The sequence below is a fragment of the Homo sapiens genome, chromosome 18 (genome assembly GCF_000001405.40).
Source record: "Homo sapiens chromosome 18, GRCh38.p14 Primary Assembly".
In the NCBI taxonomy this organism is placed as follows: domain Eukaryota; kingdom Metazoa; phylum Chordata; class Mammalia; order Primates; family Hominidae; genus Homo; species Homo sapiens.
The window spans coordinates 27,962,693-27,979,856 of NC_000018.10; the positions used below are offsets into that span (position 1 = coordinate 27,962,693).

Genomic DNA, 17,164 nt, shown 5'->3' on the forward strand with positions numbered 1-17,164 from the left:
GCAGCAGCACAAATCATTGAACTTCAAAACTTAAATGTAACAGAACTCTTGGTCAGTAATAAAGAATGTCATAATAATTTTGACAGTGAAAATCATATCTGTTATATGCAACAGAGAAATAGCTTCCTTTTACAGAAGCTCTTAAAACTCCTCAACTAGACAAGTCCTTAAATCACTTACATAATATTTAATTTAGCTCTTCCAACTAATCTCTTTTGATGGAGTCATTGGGCAGGCACTGAATTCTCACGATTTGTGGGATTCAAAGGGTACAGTGTGAGGAAAATTAAAGTGAACTACTGCTACATTTATTAATGCTAATAAATGAAATTAGAATGCACTATAATATTGTTAGTCTATTTATTACTTGTAATCTAGGAAAAAAAATCCTTCTCGGAGACAGTGTGACTAATTCTGATAATATATGATGTATGTCATTTTACAAATGCAGAATCTTAATTGATAGATCTCTTTTTGGTTGATCAAAGCAATTACATTTGTTGTTAATGAAGCCACATTTGCTTTCACACAAGATGAACTTCAGAAACACAAGTATGTTTTAGTGAACTATATAGCTGTATTCCAAGCAATTTGTGGCCTACAGAGATCTAACCATTAGCATGAAATGAAAACTCTTATAGAGAAAACGAGTGTCTCTCTGTACCTCATTAATGAAGTCCCCAATGTCTCCAGGGTGTGGGGCTGCAGATCGGACCGGATACTGGGGCTCGGCGTGGATGGGTCTTTCATCCATTCGTCGGATTCCCACAGGCTTGATGGCATCAGGCTCCACAGTGTCAGGCTGCTGCAGCTGGCTCAAGTCATAGTCCTGCAAAAAGACAAAATCAAAAACCGATGGGAGATGGGCACAAAGATAGAAAATTACAACCTCGCTTTTTAAGCACATACTCAGAACACATAGAAATGAGGAAAATTTAACATAATGGAAAAGTTGCCACTATGAGTTTTTCATGTTATGATTAAATATTTCTTTCACACAGCTCTTTCTTCTGTGCTTTTCATTTCTACAGTCTGTGCTCCATCTGCTTTACAATGTTCCTCATCAGTTTCCAATGAAAAACAGCAGTGTGATGAGGTCTCACTATAAAACAACTAAAAAACCGACTAGACAATATAGTTGTACCATACAAGCAAAGGTGCTAACTTCATGTCTTTAATATTTTTTTAAAACGAGGGTGGTTATTCTTCCTTTTCCCTAAAGGAAGGCATTAGTTCATGAAGGTTTCAAGCCACCCTTCTTCCTTCTCTCTCTCCCTTCTAAACTCTAGAGCAGAGGTCAGAAAACTATGATCTCTGGGCCCAGTGTGACCTATGGCCTATTTTTCTCTAAGATTAGCTTTTACATTTTTAAAAAGTTACTTAAAATACAAACGACAAAGAAAAATGTGCTACAGGGAATATATGTGGCCCACAAAACCTAAATTATTTACTATCTGGCCCTACTGAGGAAAAGTTTGCTGACCTCTGGTTTAGTGGTGGTAGACCAGAGAGAGGGTGGATTTTCTTCCAATGCTGCCCTGTGGGAATGTCCTGGAAAAACAATCTGTCCGCTTTCAGAGAGGCAAAGTACAACTTGTGAAGAAGGATGCTCTGGCCATAGGTTGGGCCCTCAGAACTATTTTTAGCTCAGACATCTGGACAGGAATGTATAAAGAAAGAGACTACAATGTGGAAATAATCCACATTTAAGGTTTGGGCAAATAGTTGGTAGTATTCAAACCTCTGAATTCTGGTGATACAAAATATCATATCCCCAAGCTTACCCAACATTCTTTCAATTCAAAACTGACATTTGCAGCAAGCATAGATGTAGTTATGCTTTTCTTAGTTCAGGCTTCATCTCTCTGTCTGAAACTAGCTTTTAAAACCTTTTGCAGTTATCTCTAGAGTGATTTTGATTTATTCGACAGTTGTTTAACGTTTACCATGTTTTGGCAATGGTCTAGGTGTCTTACATATGTTCACTCATTTGATCCTCTTAGTACATGTGATACTAAGTTTTATTATCCCCACTTAAGAGATGAGAAAACTGAGTTTCAAATAACCCAAGTAAGTCGCATATGGTCCCAGATCTATTAAGAAAAGGATTCTGACTCCAAGTGTATTAGATTCCAAAGCCTGGCTCTCTTCACAATCATCTATGAGTAAATCAAGACTGAGTTACAAGGTTGGATTTAAAGGTAAGGAACTAGATAAACGAGCTTGAGCTTGGAGGGACAGGAATGTGAGGAATGCTTAAAATAACAAGGAGACAAAGGGAAGGAAAAGGTCAGTAACTTCATACTCACTGTGGGTCAGGCACTATACCAGACTCTTGATAAGTGTTTTCTCACTATCAATGGTGCCTAAGAAACCCATGAAAAATGTTTTATCATCATCTCTTTAGGTGGAGAAACAGGTTGAGTAACTTGCCCAAGGTCACACAGCTAGTATATGACTAAAATGAGAATCAAAACCATGAGTGTCTGACTTCATAGCACCTGATTTAAAATTTATGCTAATTGAGATACTCTGATCCTGGCAACACTCTCCCTGAATATTTCCTTATCAAGAACTTCAGCTGGCAGGTGAAGGCACTCACATACATACGCTGATGGAAAAGCTCCTCCTCTTAGGTGTGTGCAATGTGATGCGGAAAGCGAGGTAGGTATAGAGACTTCGAACCCGCCAGAGTGGGATGTACATTTGGTGTATCACAAACTATAAAATGTTCAGGGGGAAATCAGCTTTAGCTCTGAACCATCTATGGGCTGGCGACAAAGCGCCATTTTGGGAGAGTCCACAGCAGGAGCAAAGGCATCAGAATGCTGCTTTCTCTTGTCAAGATGGAGTATTTCAAATCATCCATACAAAACTTGAGAAAAAACACCTTGATCTTGCACAAATGTGCTCCATTTTCAATTTTATAGAATTTGAGTTATTTACGGAATATCTCAGAAAAGGCCCTCAATGATGCAACAGATGTGAAAGTCCTTGAACTGTTAAAATGCTATACACGACAAAAAGAGGGATTTAGTCCCCTGCACTTTGGGAGGCCAAGGCGGGTAGATCATAAGGTCAGGAGTTCAAGACCAGCCTGGCCAATATGGTGAAACCCCATCTCTACTAAAAAATACAAAAATCAGCCGGATGTGGTGGTGGGCGCCTGTAGTCCCAGATATTTATTTGGGAGGCTGAGGCAGGAGAATCGCTTGAACTCGGGAGGTGAAAGTTGCAGTGAGACAAGATCGCATCACTGTACTCCAGCCCGGGCGACAGAAAGACTCTGTCTAAAAGGAAAAAAAAAAAAAAAAAAAAAAAAAAGATTTATTCAGAGAAATTTTAATGCTTTCACACTAAAAAATAAAATATGTTTTTTCCAGGCCATGTTTAATTGTATAACTACCAAGCACAACAGAGTGGGGTGAACTATGAATAAGTATGCATTCTTATTCAATTACCAAAGCTGTCCTTAAAATGGGGGAAAATAGATGGCAAGTATATTGATGACAGTGAATAAATGTTTTTACCCTAAGGGTGAAAAATGTTTTATTAGAAGTCTAAATTACACACAAAAAGGTAATTGAATCTTATGTTTAAGCACTGTCTTTTACCTGGTGACATATTCTTTGATACTCCTGGATATATTACATAATAGCTCAGGGTGACAAATATAAGAATATAGAGGAATTTCGTTCATATAACTGGAGATAAAAGAGGCATGTGGGCTTTGCTCATGCTACTCCCTATCTGGGAAGAGCCATTCTACTCTGACTTCTTCTATAACTCCAACTGTATCCAGAGGCTGCAAATAAAATTGCATTTTGATTGGCTAGCAGACTTTTAAATATATTCAAATAGGTCACCAACATTTAGACATAGGTGTATCTCACCTGAGAATAACAAGATCTGGCAAAAGAGATCTTACATTCTGACAACAATTTGCTACAGCTGAGAGCAGTTGTCCCCTCTGGACAAGGAAAGGATAGCCTCCTAACCTGCTTCATAGATGAATGTGTATATAACATACTTACATAATAGCAAATAATTTACAGTTCTTTATCTTTCTTTTGATAGCTTTTTCCTACTATCTTAAGAACCAGAGAGCAGGAAGAGTCTTAAAACTTCGGTGGTCTTGCTTAGACCTTTGGACCATCAATGTTTCAGGCTTATAGAAAGTTCCCACTAAAAAAAAAGTGTTGAACATAATCTCAGTGATGATACTTATGCCAGATATCAAAGGAGCAGCTAATTCAAGAAATGTGACTTGGATCACATTATACACTATAGTAATAATTTATGATGAGACGGGAGAGAAAGACCTCCTGGTCCCATTGCTGAGAATCATTGCCATGGTGAATCACCCCATAATGATGGAAGCCTGTTAAATTCCTCCACGGTGATGGTGTCCACAAAGAGGCAAAAAATCACTGGTTTACAGGAAGTTAGACACAAGGTTAAAATACATGGCTTAGAGTGTCTCTGTGATGGCTTCTCCTTATCTACTGCAAATATGGGACATAAAAATCTGATGATGGCAGGCAGCGTGTGGAAGTATCCTCCGGCCACAGGGTGGGCTCTTCTGTTGACGTCTATCTGTGTTGTATGGCAAAAGTCCTGAACTGAGAGTCTAATTTTAGACCTTTTGATAAAAAACGCTCCCTAATTATACATCTTTACAATCCCATAATGATGTACATAAACACACAAATGACAACATGTAGGATGAGAATTATAAAGAGAATTACAAAGACCAAAAATCTTCTCAACGTCATTGGGTTCATGGCCTTACTCCTGAAGATTATAAACAATCCAAAAAGACATCTTTATTTGGCTCCTAAAACTCAAAGAGTGGGTCCGAAAATTCTCTTATGATTGCCAACCTTTACAATGTTAACTTCCCAAAGAAATTCAATTTTCAAACAAAGGCCAAGGAAAATCTCTTTTTTACTTCATTTTAATGTTTGGAATATGTGTTAATTGGCAATCATCATTAAAAGTAGGCATGGAATTTGGGTTTTGAGAATATTAACACTGCAAGTAACTTAAATTTTTTTTTGGTCTATGATTTAAAATGTCTTAAGGGCGATATAGTTCTGGGGGAGTTAGTAAGAAGTTAGCATGACTTGCAATGATTTATAATTAGTTTGGAAAATGATACAACGAGTTTAACTCAGAGCATTTGGTTATGCTACAATAAAATAAAATGTTGCATCAGTATAAATTGAAATTCTGGAATCCCAGGCAAATACTTCCAAAAACTACATTGCATGTAGAATCTACAGAATTGTATAGTCAACCCATTTCAGGGAGTAATGCAAACACTCACTCATTTACCATTCCACCAGTATTTATGGAATGTCTACTGGGTGCCAGATGCCATTTTCAGGTCAGAGAGCAAGAAAGCAAGCAAGCAACCTTTATCTGGTGCTCATCATCTGTCAAGAATTACATTAGGTGCTTTCTCATGTGGTATTGCATTAATACAAACAAAAACCCTTCTAAGTGGGTGTTATTGTTCCCACTCTATTGATTACCACAGCTCAGGGAGGTTAATGATTTGACCAAGGTCACAGACTCACTTAAGCACGTCAAAAGATAACACAGAGCCCACCAGGGCAAGCAAAATAAATAATCAAAAAGCTGCATCTTTTTGTCACTTGCCAGTGAAGAAATGCACGAAAGAGTTTACTGAGGGGGAAAACATCTGGGGTTTGAAGTGCTGGAGGGGGGAGTTTAAGATGGTTCCACTAATCAGTCACTGGGCACTAGCACTCTGCATAGAACAAATGAGTTCTTCGGTCTGTGCACAGTTGGTTAAAATAAGACTAACTGTTGTTTAGGCAGGAAGGAATCCTCACTTAGGTCAAATAAGAGTCTGACACATGGAGGAGAGGGGTGGACACTTAAAGTTCACGGGCCTTTATCAGCCTCCACTGGTTAGAACCAGTGATGAAACACAACAGTTTTGCTATCTCTTAGGCATGGGCTGGTTCAAGTGGAACATTTTCCTTTTATAGCTGCAAAGGCAAATGACTTTAAAATCCCCATATAGATAAGGTAAACATTAAAAATGTTTCAAGACTGAGTGACTGAGAGAAATTAAAATACTCACATGGAAGTAAATGGACAAAATTCTGAAGGAAAAAAAATATCTGGAAAAAAGCTGACTGCGGCACAGGCAAGAAACTTCAGACACAAAAAGAAATGGAAGGTGGGAGAGAAGAACACTATTATCTCACCCTCTATAGCTCCCGGCATTAAAATAATTGAATAAAATAGTGATAAGGTGTCAACATATTACCAAACAACTGCTGACAAGTAAGTCAAATATACCCGTGCAAGCTTTATGTAAATTACATTACGACCTGATTTTCTTCCCCAGTGAAATATCGTTATGACGGTAACTATCTTCACAGGTGAAACGATGTGGAAAACTAAGTAGATTCCATGGATTATCACAGCCCCCCCACCAACAAAAAATTTGCTAAAAGCTTTTTCTGGATTGAACCATAAACCTAATACAAATAAAATAACTTGGGGACTTTCAGTATACAGATGAAGGATCTCTGTTCTCTCTCTTCATATACTATACATTTTAATCTTACTGGTAGCCAGTTTTCTACTTCCCACAAGGGAGAGGACTGAGTCCCCACTAAAAGGGAACAGTCATTGTTTCTGCCCCTGTGGCTTACTGTTAATGCTGACATGTCAGTTTCCTTTAACATGCTACCTGTTTTCAGAATTATGAATGAGCTATAGGTTCACTCTTTGATGTAAAATTACACTTCTATTTTAGAAACTGTGACTGTTGAAATCCTATCACAACTTATTTCCCGTTACAAAATTATGGCTTATTCTTTTAGGAAAATGTGGCATATACACACTTCAATTAGACTTGATTCCACAAATTCTTTCATAAGAGGGGTCTCTCTTGGGAAACAGACTCGGTTACTAACAACACTGAGCCTTTACTCTAATGTCTTTTAAAAGGACATATTTTAAAATAATGAAAGTTTGGCCAGGTACGGCAGCTCAGCTTGGCCGGGTGCGGCGGCTCACGCCTGTAATCCCAGCTCTTTGGGAGGCCGAGGCGGGTGGATCACTTGAGGTCAGGAGTTGGAGACCAGCTGGCCAACATGGTGCAACCCTGTCTCTACTAAAAATACAAAAATTAGGTGCCTGTAGTCCCAGCTACTCAGGAGGCTGAGGCAGGAGAATCGCTAGAACCTGGGAGGCAGAGGTTGCAGTGAGCCAAGATCGTGCCATTGCACTCCAGCCTGGGCGACAACAGTGAAATTCTGTCTCAACAAAATAATAATAAAAAAATTAAAATAATGAAAATATAATATTTAAAGTTACAAAAAATACGGAAAGTGAAGATGTCAGAAGCTATGAAGGAAGTACTGTTGGAAGAAGGGAGGATGCAGATATGCAGAGGAACAGGGCTTCAGAAAGATGGAGCACTGGAAATATGAAATAATTTCCCGTTGTTTTGATGCAATCCAGTTACATTCCTATAAAGAGAAACACATTTCTTAACCCTTCCAAGCCACTGTCTGTCTTGGGAGACAAAAGTATAGCCATCTAAATGCATGTTGGGTTCCATGTTTTCACCTCGAGTTCCAATTTCTTCTTGCAAAAAACAAAAAATGTGACCACTTGGATAAAGATCAAAGCCACTCTATCTCAGCATGACCTATTAATTCATCTCAGAGAAAACATAAAAATAGGTAATTTGGTTGAGAATATGGTGGCAGAGCATCAAAATCCTTCCCTAGTTTATGACACATCATTTTGAAATGTCCTAAAGAATATTATTTGTTTTAGGATAAATGTACACATAAAGTAAATACTGCAAAGGGAGCCAAGTATTTGATTTTTTAAAATCCTTGATTCAAATCCTGGCTCCATCATATTTTAACTGTGTGACCTTGAGCAGATTACATAAACTTCCCATGCTAACCTTAATAGTATTCAACTTTTAGACAAAAAAGCCAATGAGAATTCCATTGATTAAATCCGTCTATAACAATGTTCAACAATCTTTTCCTGTAGGGTCTAGATAGTAAATATTAATATGTTTGGATTTGGGGGCCAGATAGTCCATGTCACGATGTTTCAACTCTGCTGTTGCTGCAGCATAAAAGTAGTCATAGATAACACATAAAAAATGGGCATCAATGGGCATGGTGCATGGCCATGCTCCAGTAAACTTTATTTATAAAAATAGGTGGGAGGCTGAGGCAGAAGTCTATGTGTAGGCTGGGCGCGGTGGCTTACGCCTGTAATCCCAGTACTTTGGGAGGCCAAGGAGGATGGATCACGAGGTCAGGAGTTCCAGACCAGCCTGACCAACATGGTGAAACCCCGTCTCTACTAAAAATACAAAAATTAGCTGGGCGTCGTGGCACACGCCTGTAATCCCAGCTACTCAAGAGGCTGAGGCAGGAGAATTGCTTGAACCTGGGAGGCAGAGGTTGCAGTAAGCCAAGATCACACCACTGCACTCCAGCCTGGGCAACAGAGCGAGACTCCATCTCAAAAAAAAAAAGGTAGCTGGTGGATTTGGTAGCTGCTAGAACACTGGCCTATAGCATTTTTGCATGTCAGTTCTTTTTTTTTTTTTTTTTGCATAGTACTAATACATACTTGGTATTCAAATCTTTATCATTGTTATTAGTAGAATATCAATAACTTTCCATTTCCCTAAAACGAAATATAGAAAATTTGTAATCAGCCAGGAAGAATAAATATTAAGATGACTTATCTAAAATACTGTGTCACTTGCATGAAGTGACAGGAATGATGAAGGAAAAGTCATATGCAAATCATATGCACAGTGAAAGTATTTAATAACTGGGAGGGGATGGGCACTGACCAGTTCAGAACACATGCTTTTACAGCCCACTAATGTGTACCCTGGCCACGAGTGTTTTGAGAATAGCATGCAAAAAGGGAATGACAATGTGCTAACCCAATCCCTAGTGAAACTTTCCTTTTGTGAAATCAGAATCTTTCAATAACTAATATATAACAGTGTTTGCAGGTTGGTAAAAATGAATGAATAACTTGGGAACATCATTAACAAAGCATGCTTTAGCCAACAATAAAAGTGTTGAAAGTGGTCTCCACAGTTATGTCCAGATTCAGCCATCTGTTAAGTTTGCTTAAAAGGCAGAATAAATTTATAAAGCGATTATTTCAAGCAATCAAATATACCATAGTTAGATTATACAGCTTCATTCTCTAACACTTAAAGTCCGATAGTTGGGCTTGATTGCCCACATTAGGTCTGGTTCCCGAGACTGGCAGAAGTCCACAGAGATCCCCTGGCTCAAGAAGAGATTTCTTGACTCAGAAAAGTGGCGGGTTTGTTCTCAAGTGGCTTTCTTGTACCTGTGCCCCCATCCTTCTGTCTAGGCATCTTGCCTGGACTTTAGATTTAGCTCCAGACTGTATACTCAGATTTTTTTTTAATAACTTGGCTGCTTAGATTGCTTCTCCAGATTTTAACTTTGTTAATGTCAAAATGGGTCCAATTCTGCAAGCTTAATCAATTGATTACCCTTATGTCTTCTAAAGTCATATTACCAGTGGTCATCTAATAAGCTGTGGCTATGAGCCTAGCCATACTGGTCCAAGCCAGTAACACCTCCTGCCTGCTACAGACCAGTGAGACTAAATAAAATATCTATCATATGACCTCTATCACAGTGCATGAGAGCCTGAACTCTCGAGTCACATAGACCTAGGTTTGAAAACGGACTAACAGCAGTGTCCATTTCATGGAGTCATCAGGAACATTATAAAGGACATGCAAACTAAGAGAGTAGCACAGTGCCTGACACAGAACAAATATGCAACAATGCTAGCATTTATGAATGCTATCATCATTTCCTGAAGACATCAGAGATCTCTAAGGATGACAGTGAAGTTATCGGGAGTATACTGGTTCAATTAAGTCACAGATAGAGTTGCAAACTAAGTTAGAAATTCAGGAAGAGGGCCCACAGCAGTTCAACTAACATTCTATGAGTGTTGCCAGGTGCCAACTGTCCTAGATACTGAAATAAAAAATAAGTATGACAAGTCCTTGCCTTACAGAGCTTAAGGTCAGGACCAAGAGTGGACATAAAAGCTCAAAATAGAGGTAGACTGGGAATGCTGTGGGGGCACAGAGCAGAGAAACTTGATTTAGCCTGGGACTCTAAGACAAGATGTCTTGAGATGAATCTTGATGGCTAAACAGAATTAGGTGAAGAAATGGACTACGTTAAAAAAGTGTGAGAGTGTGGTACAGGTGTGCAAGTATAGGCAGTTCAAAATGCAAAGTGGAGGGGTAATGAGAGAACAAACTGAATTGTCAACCCTTGAAGTTCGCAATCCTAAAAGCCAAACCCCAGGTCATAGGAACTGTGGGTTCTTACCCCATCTCAGGCACTTGGACTTGGCGGAATGTGCTTTCTGTGTCACCAAGACTCTAGGGATCTCATCTACATCAATATTGAAACTAATTTCCACAACTCACATAAAAAAATCAACTTCATTGAAAAAAAGTCAGTGGACACTCATATGGTAATTATATCTAGGTCTTCTGGGTTCTGAAAACCTAGGCCACTAAGAGGCACTTCTATTATAATTCCCTTTATCATGAAATTGTATGTGATTTCTTACATGTGCCAGTGCTGGATCCTGATCTAGAAGACTTTAGTATCACAGAAAGTACTAGAAGCTTTCTTCAGATAAAGGAAAGCTGCTTTCCCTTGTTTTTGGTGAACCTTACATTCCGTTTCTCATGCCTATACAGTGTTGTATTTCATGAGCTGTGCCTACTGTATCTCCTCTGTGCCAAGGGACCTACTTCCCTATGACATACCTGGATTGGTCAGAACAGTGCAACCCATTGTGGGTGAGGTAAAAAGGGTTCTCATACAATCTCCAAAAACATTCTCTAAATTCAAGTACCTAACCTGGGTTTGTTAAGACTTCCAGCTGATCACTTAAACCATTTATTTTTCTTTCTAGACACACTGAAGGTTATTTCCCAGGGAATTAGGAGTGGAAGGGATGTGTGCCACTTCTAGGCCTGGCCCATAAAAATCTCCCAAAAATCATCCTCCATGCCCTGTTGTCATGTAGTGATTGCATGGATTTAAGGGTAGGGTGATCCTAGAAGTCACATGTGAAAGATGGGAGAGTCTTTGGCGCTTAGGTCCCTGAATGACTGTGTAGAGAGAAGCAGACCTCCTTTCTCCATCCCAAATGCCCACGACCTGAAACCCAGTTAATGTTAAGAAACCAATAAATACATTTTCAACTAGACTTAGGTCACTGAAATTTTAGAGTCTGTTACAGCGGCTAGCCTATTTTAACTAATACCTTTGGCTAAACATATTTGTGTGGCTACTTCTCTCTCTCTTTTTTTCTCTCTCATTTAAGCAATATAAAACTGTCTTAGAAAATCACCTCCTCTTTGTACAAACCTGTTTTTGTTAATCTAAGACTTACTTATTACTGTATAATTCAATCAGGGCCTGCAAAATAAGTATCTATGAAGAATGGGCTGATAACATATATCAAGAAAGCTGGTCTGGTACAAAGAATAAAAATACTGGAACATGCTTGTCCTGCTTAAAGAGGGAAAATCTCTGTTTAGTTCCCAACAACTGTCATGTCAGAATGCAGGCCATGTTTCCAGATCTTTCTGCTTTTTGAAAGGATTAGGAAACAAGAATTTTATGTGAATATTTTCCATTTTTAATTCTGCAAGCTCAAGAAAACATAGTCATGGACTACGTGTGAACAGATTCTCAGTTTATAAAATGCTACTTTAAAGTGACACAGAATCCATCTTCCAGACATGTCCCCCAAAACACAGGGGTTGGTATGAGGTATTGCTACGCTCTGAATGTCTGTGTCCCCCACTAAAGTCACATGCTGAACCTGAATTCCCAATACAATAGTATTAAGAAGTGGGGCCTTTACGAAGTGATTAGGTCATGAGGGTGGACACTTCATGAGTGGGATTAGTGCCGTTATAAAGAATACCAAGGGAGGTTGTTTGCTCCTTTCATTGTATGAGGACACAGCAAGAAAGGCGCCTTATATGAAGCACAGAGTAAGCTCTCACCAGACACTGATCTGCTGGTGCCTTGATCTTGGACTTCCCAGGATCTAGAACTGTAAGAAATAAATTTGTCTTGTTTATAAGCTACACAGTTTATGAAATTTTGTTATAGCAGCCTGAACAGACTGAACTACTTTCTTTGTGATTTCAGAACCATCTCAGATCAAACAAAAAACAAAAAACAAAACACCCCAATGAACCAGGTGTCAGTCAGTCTTTAAAACTTAAAAAAACACATTTCAGAATTCAGGCAGAGTGTTCTCAGTCCTGGAATGGGAAACCTATATAGTGTTCTCTGAGCCTAAGGGGTGCTGGGCCTTACCTGGAGAGACTGAGAAGAAAACGGAGCCAATTGTCATGCTCCAGTCAGCAACAGACTTGAGTATGAGAAGAAAGATCTGAGACATGGTGGATCACAAGGGCCAAGAACCCAAGAGTGATCAAGAGAAAACTGATGTGGAATCTTTCCACAGCCACGTAGCCTTACTGTCACAACCTCCTTTGCCCAGCATCAGCTTCAGTCTCTCACAAGTTAACTCTGCCTGACAGAAAAGTCCTCATCCCTTTGATGCAGGACATTTTCTTGACCTCTTTGTGGGACTGGTGACAGGGGTGCCCCATTTACTCAGCCTGCTGAGCCAATTCCTTGTGGGAGGGAGCGCACAGGTGAGTGAGCACGGGAACCAGCCGGCCACTTTGGCACTGGCAGAAGCAAACTCCGTGCAGGCCCTGTGGTGGCGTCTAGGTGGGGTGCCTGCCACCCCAAGGCCCCAGAGGGCGTGTTACAATGCTCTCATAGCTCTGCTGTCCGCAGACAGCAGTGTGTTATCAGCTCAGTGGGCCATTTGCCTTGTTGCATGGGGTGGCTGCCCCCTGCCAGTGTGGGCAAGAGGTCCGTGTGACAGCCTTTTGGGTACCCACACTTGGTGGGTCTTGAATTCTTGTCTGGTACCCAAGAAGAATGAGGTCATGTGGACAAACTGAAGGATGGTGAATGTGGAGAATTTTATTGAGCAATGAAAGCAGCTCTCAGCAGAGAGGGGAGCTGGAAAGGGGATGGGAAGGGCAGGTCGCTCTCCCCTGAAGTCAAGTCACCTCTCTGCCCCTCTCCTCTGCAATCAAATGCCTCTCTCTGACATCCAGCTGCTTCTCTCTTCTACCGGCTGAGTCTGGGGTCCTTATAGGGACAGAATCGGGGGCAGGGCAGGCCATAGGTAGTTTTGGAAAAGGTAACATTTGATTGGTAAAAAGACATTATTCAGAAGGAACCAATCATGAGAGAGCAGGCAAACAGGGACAGAAGTACTCACTTTGGGCCATAGGTTCCAGGCGTTTCAGCTTTAAGGTGGGGCTTTGACAAGGACCCGTCCCTGTCTGCCTAGAGCTTCTCTGCCTCCTGCCTTTATCACCTTGAGGCTGGCATTGCTCCTTGAACCAGAACTCATGGTCTGAAGGGTTCCAGTTTCTATCAATTATCATTTGTGACCCCAGCCAAGATGAATAGCAGTACCTCTTTTCATAGATTATGAGTTCTCACAGCAGCCCAAGGCCTTGGGATGGTTAATGTTTCAAGTCAAATTCTGAAAGCACAGGAAGCTGCTGGATGTTCCAGTTCTGCTTCAAGGATGGGAGAGCCTTCTGACAAATTCGCATGGCATTCCAAAAGGCAGTATTTTAGTTGCCTGGTTGAACATGAGCTTTGTAAAGGATGGTATAAGATATGATAGACACCATTTTCTTTGCACTGAGGCAGACAAAGATTTAATCTTCACTTTGCTACTTTCTAACAATATACGCCTATTTTACTGGACTATTGTGAAGGACAAATGAACTAATGTATATTTCAATAACGAAATAATGTACTTAGTACAGTGCCTAACACAGGGTACACCAAATAACAGCTTTTGCTATTAGTATAGAGAATGAAACTGCATTGTGTCAGGTGATGTAGGGAGAGGTTTAAAGTGAGCACCACTGACTGAGCACCATTTATACACACTTGATAAATGTTTGTAATTAAGTCTAAGCCTTAAAAAGCAGAAGGCTAACAGTTTCTCTTTCCTATCCTGGGGCTGAAAGGGGATGGTCCCAGGGAAAGTGAGATATCGGCTATATTGTACATTCACCCTGATTTTATTAGTGACGCTGATATGGAAAGAACTTGATACAAAGATCATTGAAAGCGATACCGTATCTGCAACCAACCCCATTGGCCAAAAGGGCACTGAAGGACATTTACTAATGAGGGTAATTAAACATGCCTTACTAACCAGCAAAAAAAGCCCTGCTGTTAGCAGTGAAAGAGATAAAGAAAGAACTTCACTCTCTGAAAAGAGACTAGATATACTAAAAGTGTCTGTTCAACCGCTAACAGCCCTGTGTGGAGATAACACTCTCAACAGAACACATCTAATGCTAGTTTCAAATATGGGCCCAACCTAGCCTCCTGACAATCTAAGCCACAGCAGAAGATCCACGAACTCTAATAAATCTCTGTTATACACAAGGTAAGAAAAAAGATATCGGAGTAGTTGTTTCTTTTTTTTTCTTTTTCCCATTTTACCCCCTTAGGCACCTCTTAGTTATTTTGTTAAAGAAATTAGCAACCTGTACCTTGACATAGAACTTATACAGACAGAGACTCCAATCAAAGACAGGTAAGATAAGAACTACCCTTGTAAAAGACTACTTTGCTTTGTTTTCTTTGTAATCAGTTAGCTGCTGGTATGGATACTTTGTCTTGGCAGGAAGAATAGGAATCTCAGCTGAGCCAGTTTCAGGCTAATTTTCTGGAGACTGCTGTACAGACCTGCCTTGCTGTAAACACAGTCATTACCTGGCATCCAGCAAATACTTAAACTGATCTCTGAGATCTACACAACTTTTAAAGCTCAATAAACAACATGTGGTTCAGTTTACAATGGAATACTATTCAGAAACAGCAAAAATTATTCTTTAAGACTGTCCAGCTAAGACATGAAGCAGATCAGACCAGCACCTCGTCATCACCAGCCATTCACACCTGAAGGTACACACAGGCTCCATAAAAAAAAAGCAATGGATAATAAAGATCAATGAAAACTTGTCCAGAACACAGCATGGCACCAGTCCCATTTCCAAGGCCTATTATTGTAGAAAGAGAGTATCTTCATAAAAATTATGAATTAGATTCCATTGCCAAAAATTCTTACTTCACACTACAAAGAAACAGAATTTCTAACAGGCAGCCACATGTAAATTATGGAAAATAGAACCCAGTGTATTTCATACCGCTGAACTTCTCAGGAACTGACCATGATTTTAAGATTTAAAGTAAGAACATCTATTTAGAAAGTGGAGTACTTGTAGTAAGTACACTTAAAAAATAAGATAAATGGTTTATTTTTCTTAAAGAAAAAGTAAAACAGAATCCACCAAAAATCTAAAAACAAACAAACTTTGCAGAATATAGTCAGAAAACTTACCCTATTGGTTTCAAGACACTAGAAAGCTACAGTAATCGAAACAACATGGGATTGACTCAAGAACAGACAGAACAGGTAGTACCGCATAGAACAGCAGGAAGCTAACCCACAAAGCCGCACACACATATCACCTGCTTTATGGCAATGTAGCACCGCAATGCAGTGGTAAACATCATCTTTTTACCAAGGGGTGCTGGATATTCATAAAGAACATGAAGAAGTCCTGACCCATGTCTTAACCAAATGAAAAATCCATTACAGATAAATTATGGACTTAATATGATAGGTAAAACAATATAGCTTCAAGAAAATAATATATGTAGTTGGGGGGGGGGATTCATTACCTTGGGGTAGACATTTTATTTTCTCATTATTATTATTTTTCTGAGTCAGGGTCTCTGTGGCCCAGACTCTGGAGTGCAGTGACATAATCACAGCTCACTGCGGCCTCGACCTCCCAGGCTCAAGCAGTCCTCCTATCTCAGCCTCCCAAGTAGCTGGGACTATAGGTATGAGCTACCATGCCTGGTTAATTAACAATTTTTTTTTTTAAGAGATGTGGTCTTACTATGTTGCCCAGGCTGGTCTTGAACTCCTAGGCTTAAGTAATCCTCCTGCTTTAGCCTCCCAAAGTCCTGGGATTATAGGTATGAACCACTGTGCCCCACTCAAAATTTTTAAATAGAAACATGAGCACTAACCATAATGGAAAAAAAATGATAAACTGGACAACATAAAAAATAATAAAAAAACTTCTGTTCACCTAAAGACCCATTAAGAGAATAAAAAAGCTATAGAATGAGAGAATATATTTACAATATATTTATCTAACAAGGAACACATATCTATAATCTATAAGGACCTCCTACAAGTCAGTAAGAAAAAGACAGGCAACCCAATAGAAAAGTAGACAAACAGGCTAAACAAACGTCATGAAATAACATATCAAAAGGGTAAAACCGTAGGCAGGAATATCCCAATTAAATAATGAGACATACATCATCAATGTGGCCTAAATTTTAAAAGACTGAAAAAAATCCAAGTGCTAATTGAGGAAGAGGATGTGGAGCAATTGGGACTTTCATGTACCACAGTGGGGAAGGGAGGTGTCAATTGTATGATCACTTTGGAAAACGTACAGGACTGTAGTCGAGCTGCACATATGCACACTCTGTGGCTCAGACATTCAACTCCTGTGCACACACCAGAAAATGCACCAGAACATATGCACACAAATGTTCATAACAGTTTTATTCATAATAACCCAACTGGAAAACCTCAAGTGCCCAAGTGAAGTAGGATGGATACATAAAATGTAGTTAATTCTTCCAACAGAATACTATTCAGCAGTGACAAAAATGAACGACTTCTACACATGAATCTCACAGGTACAATGTTGAGTAATAGAAGCCAGATGCACAGAGTGCCGACTGTTTGATATCCATTTACATAAAAGTCAAAAACAGGGGGTGCTAATCTATGGTGACAGAAATAAAAAAGAGTGGTTACTTTGGACAGAGGGCAAACCACCTGTTTGTGGGTATAAGGGAAGCTTCTAGGGTGCTGGAAA

General features: G+C 39.6%; 1 protein-coding gene and 1 long non-coding RNA gene across 5 annotated transcripts in view; one reads left to right on the forward strand and one right to left on the reverse strand.

The window, feature by feature from the left end:
* Nucleotides 1-1,000, forward strand: part of CDH2-AS1 (CDH2 antisense RNA 1) — a 42,099-nt gene extending 41,099 nt beyond the window's left edge. The window contains exon 4 of the long non-coding RNA NR_199051.1: nt 694-1,000. This is a non-coding gene — a long non-coding RNA (CDH2 antisense RNA 1). The remainder of the gene's footprint in view (nt 1-693) is intronic.
* Nucleotides 1-17,164, reverse strand: part of CDH2 (cadherin 2) — a 244,252-nt gene that overhangs the window by 29,814 nt on the left and 197,274 nt on the right. For all 4 annotated transcript variants that reach the window (XM_017025514.3, NM_001792.5, XM_011525788.1 and 1 more), the window contains one exon: nt 665-829. In XM_017025514.3, the coding sequence (XP_016881003.1) occupies nt 665-829 (165 nt within the window). The remainder of the gene's footprint in view (nt 1-664; nt 830-17,164) is intronic.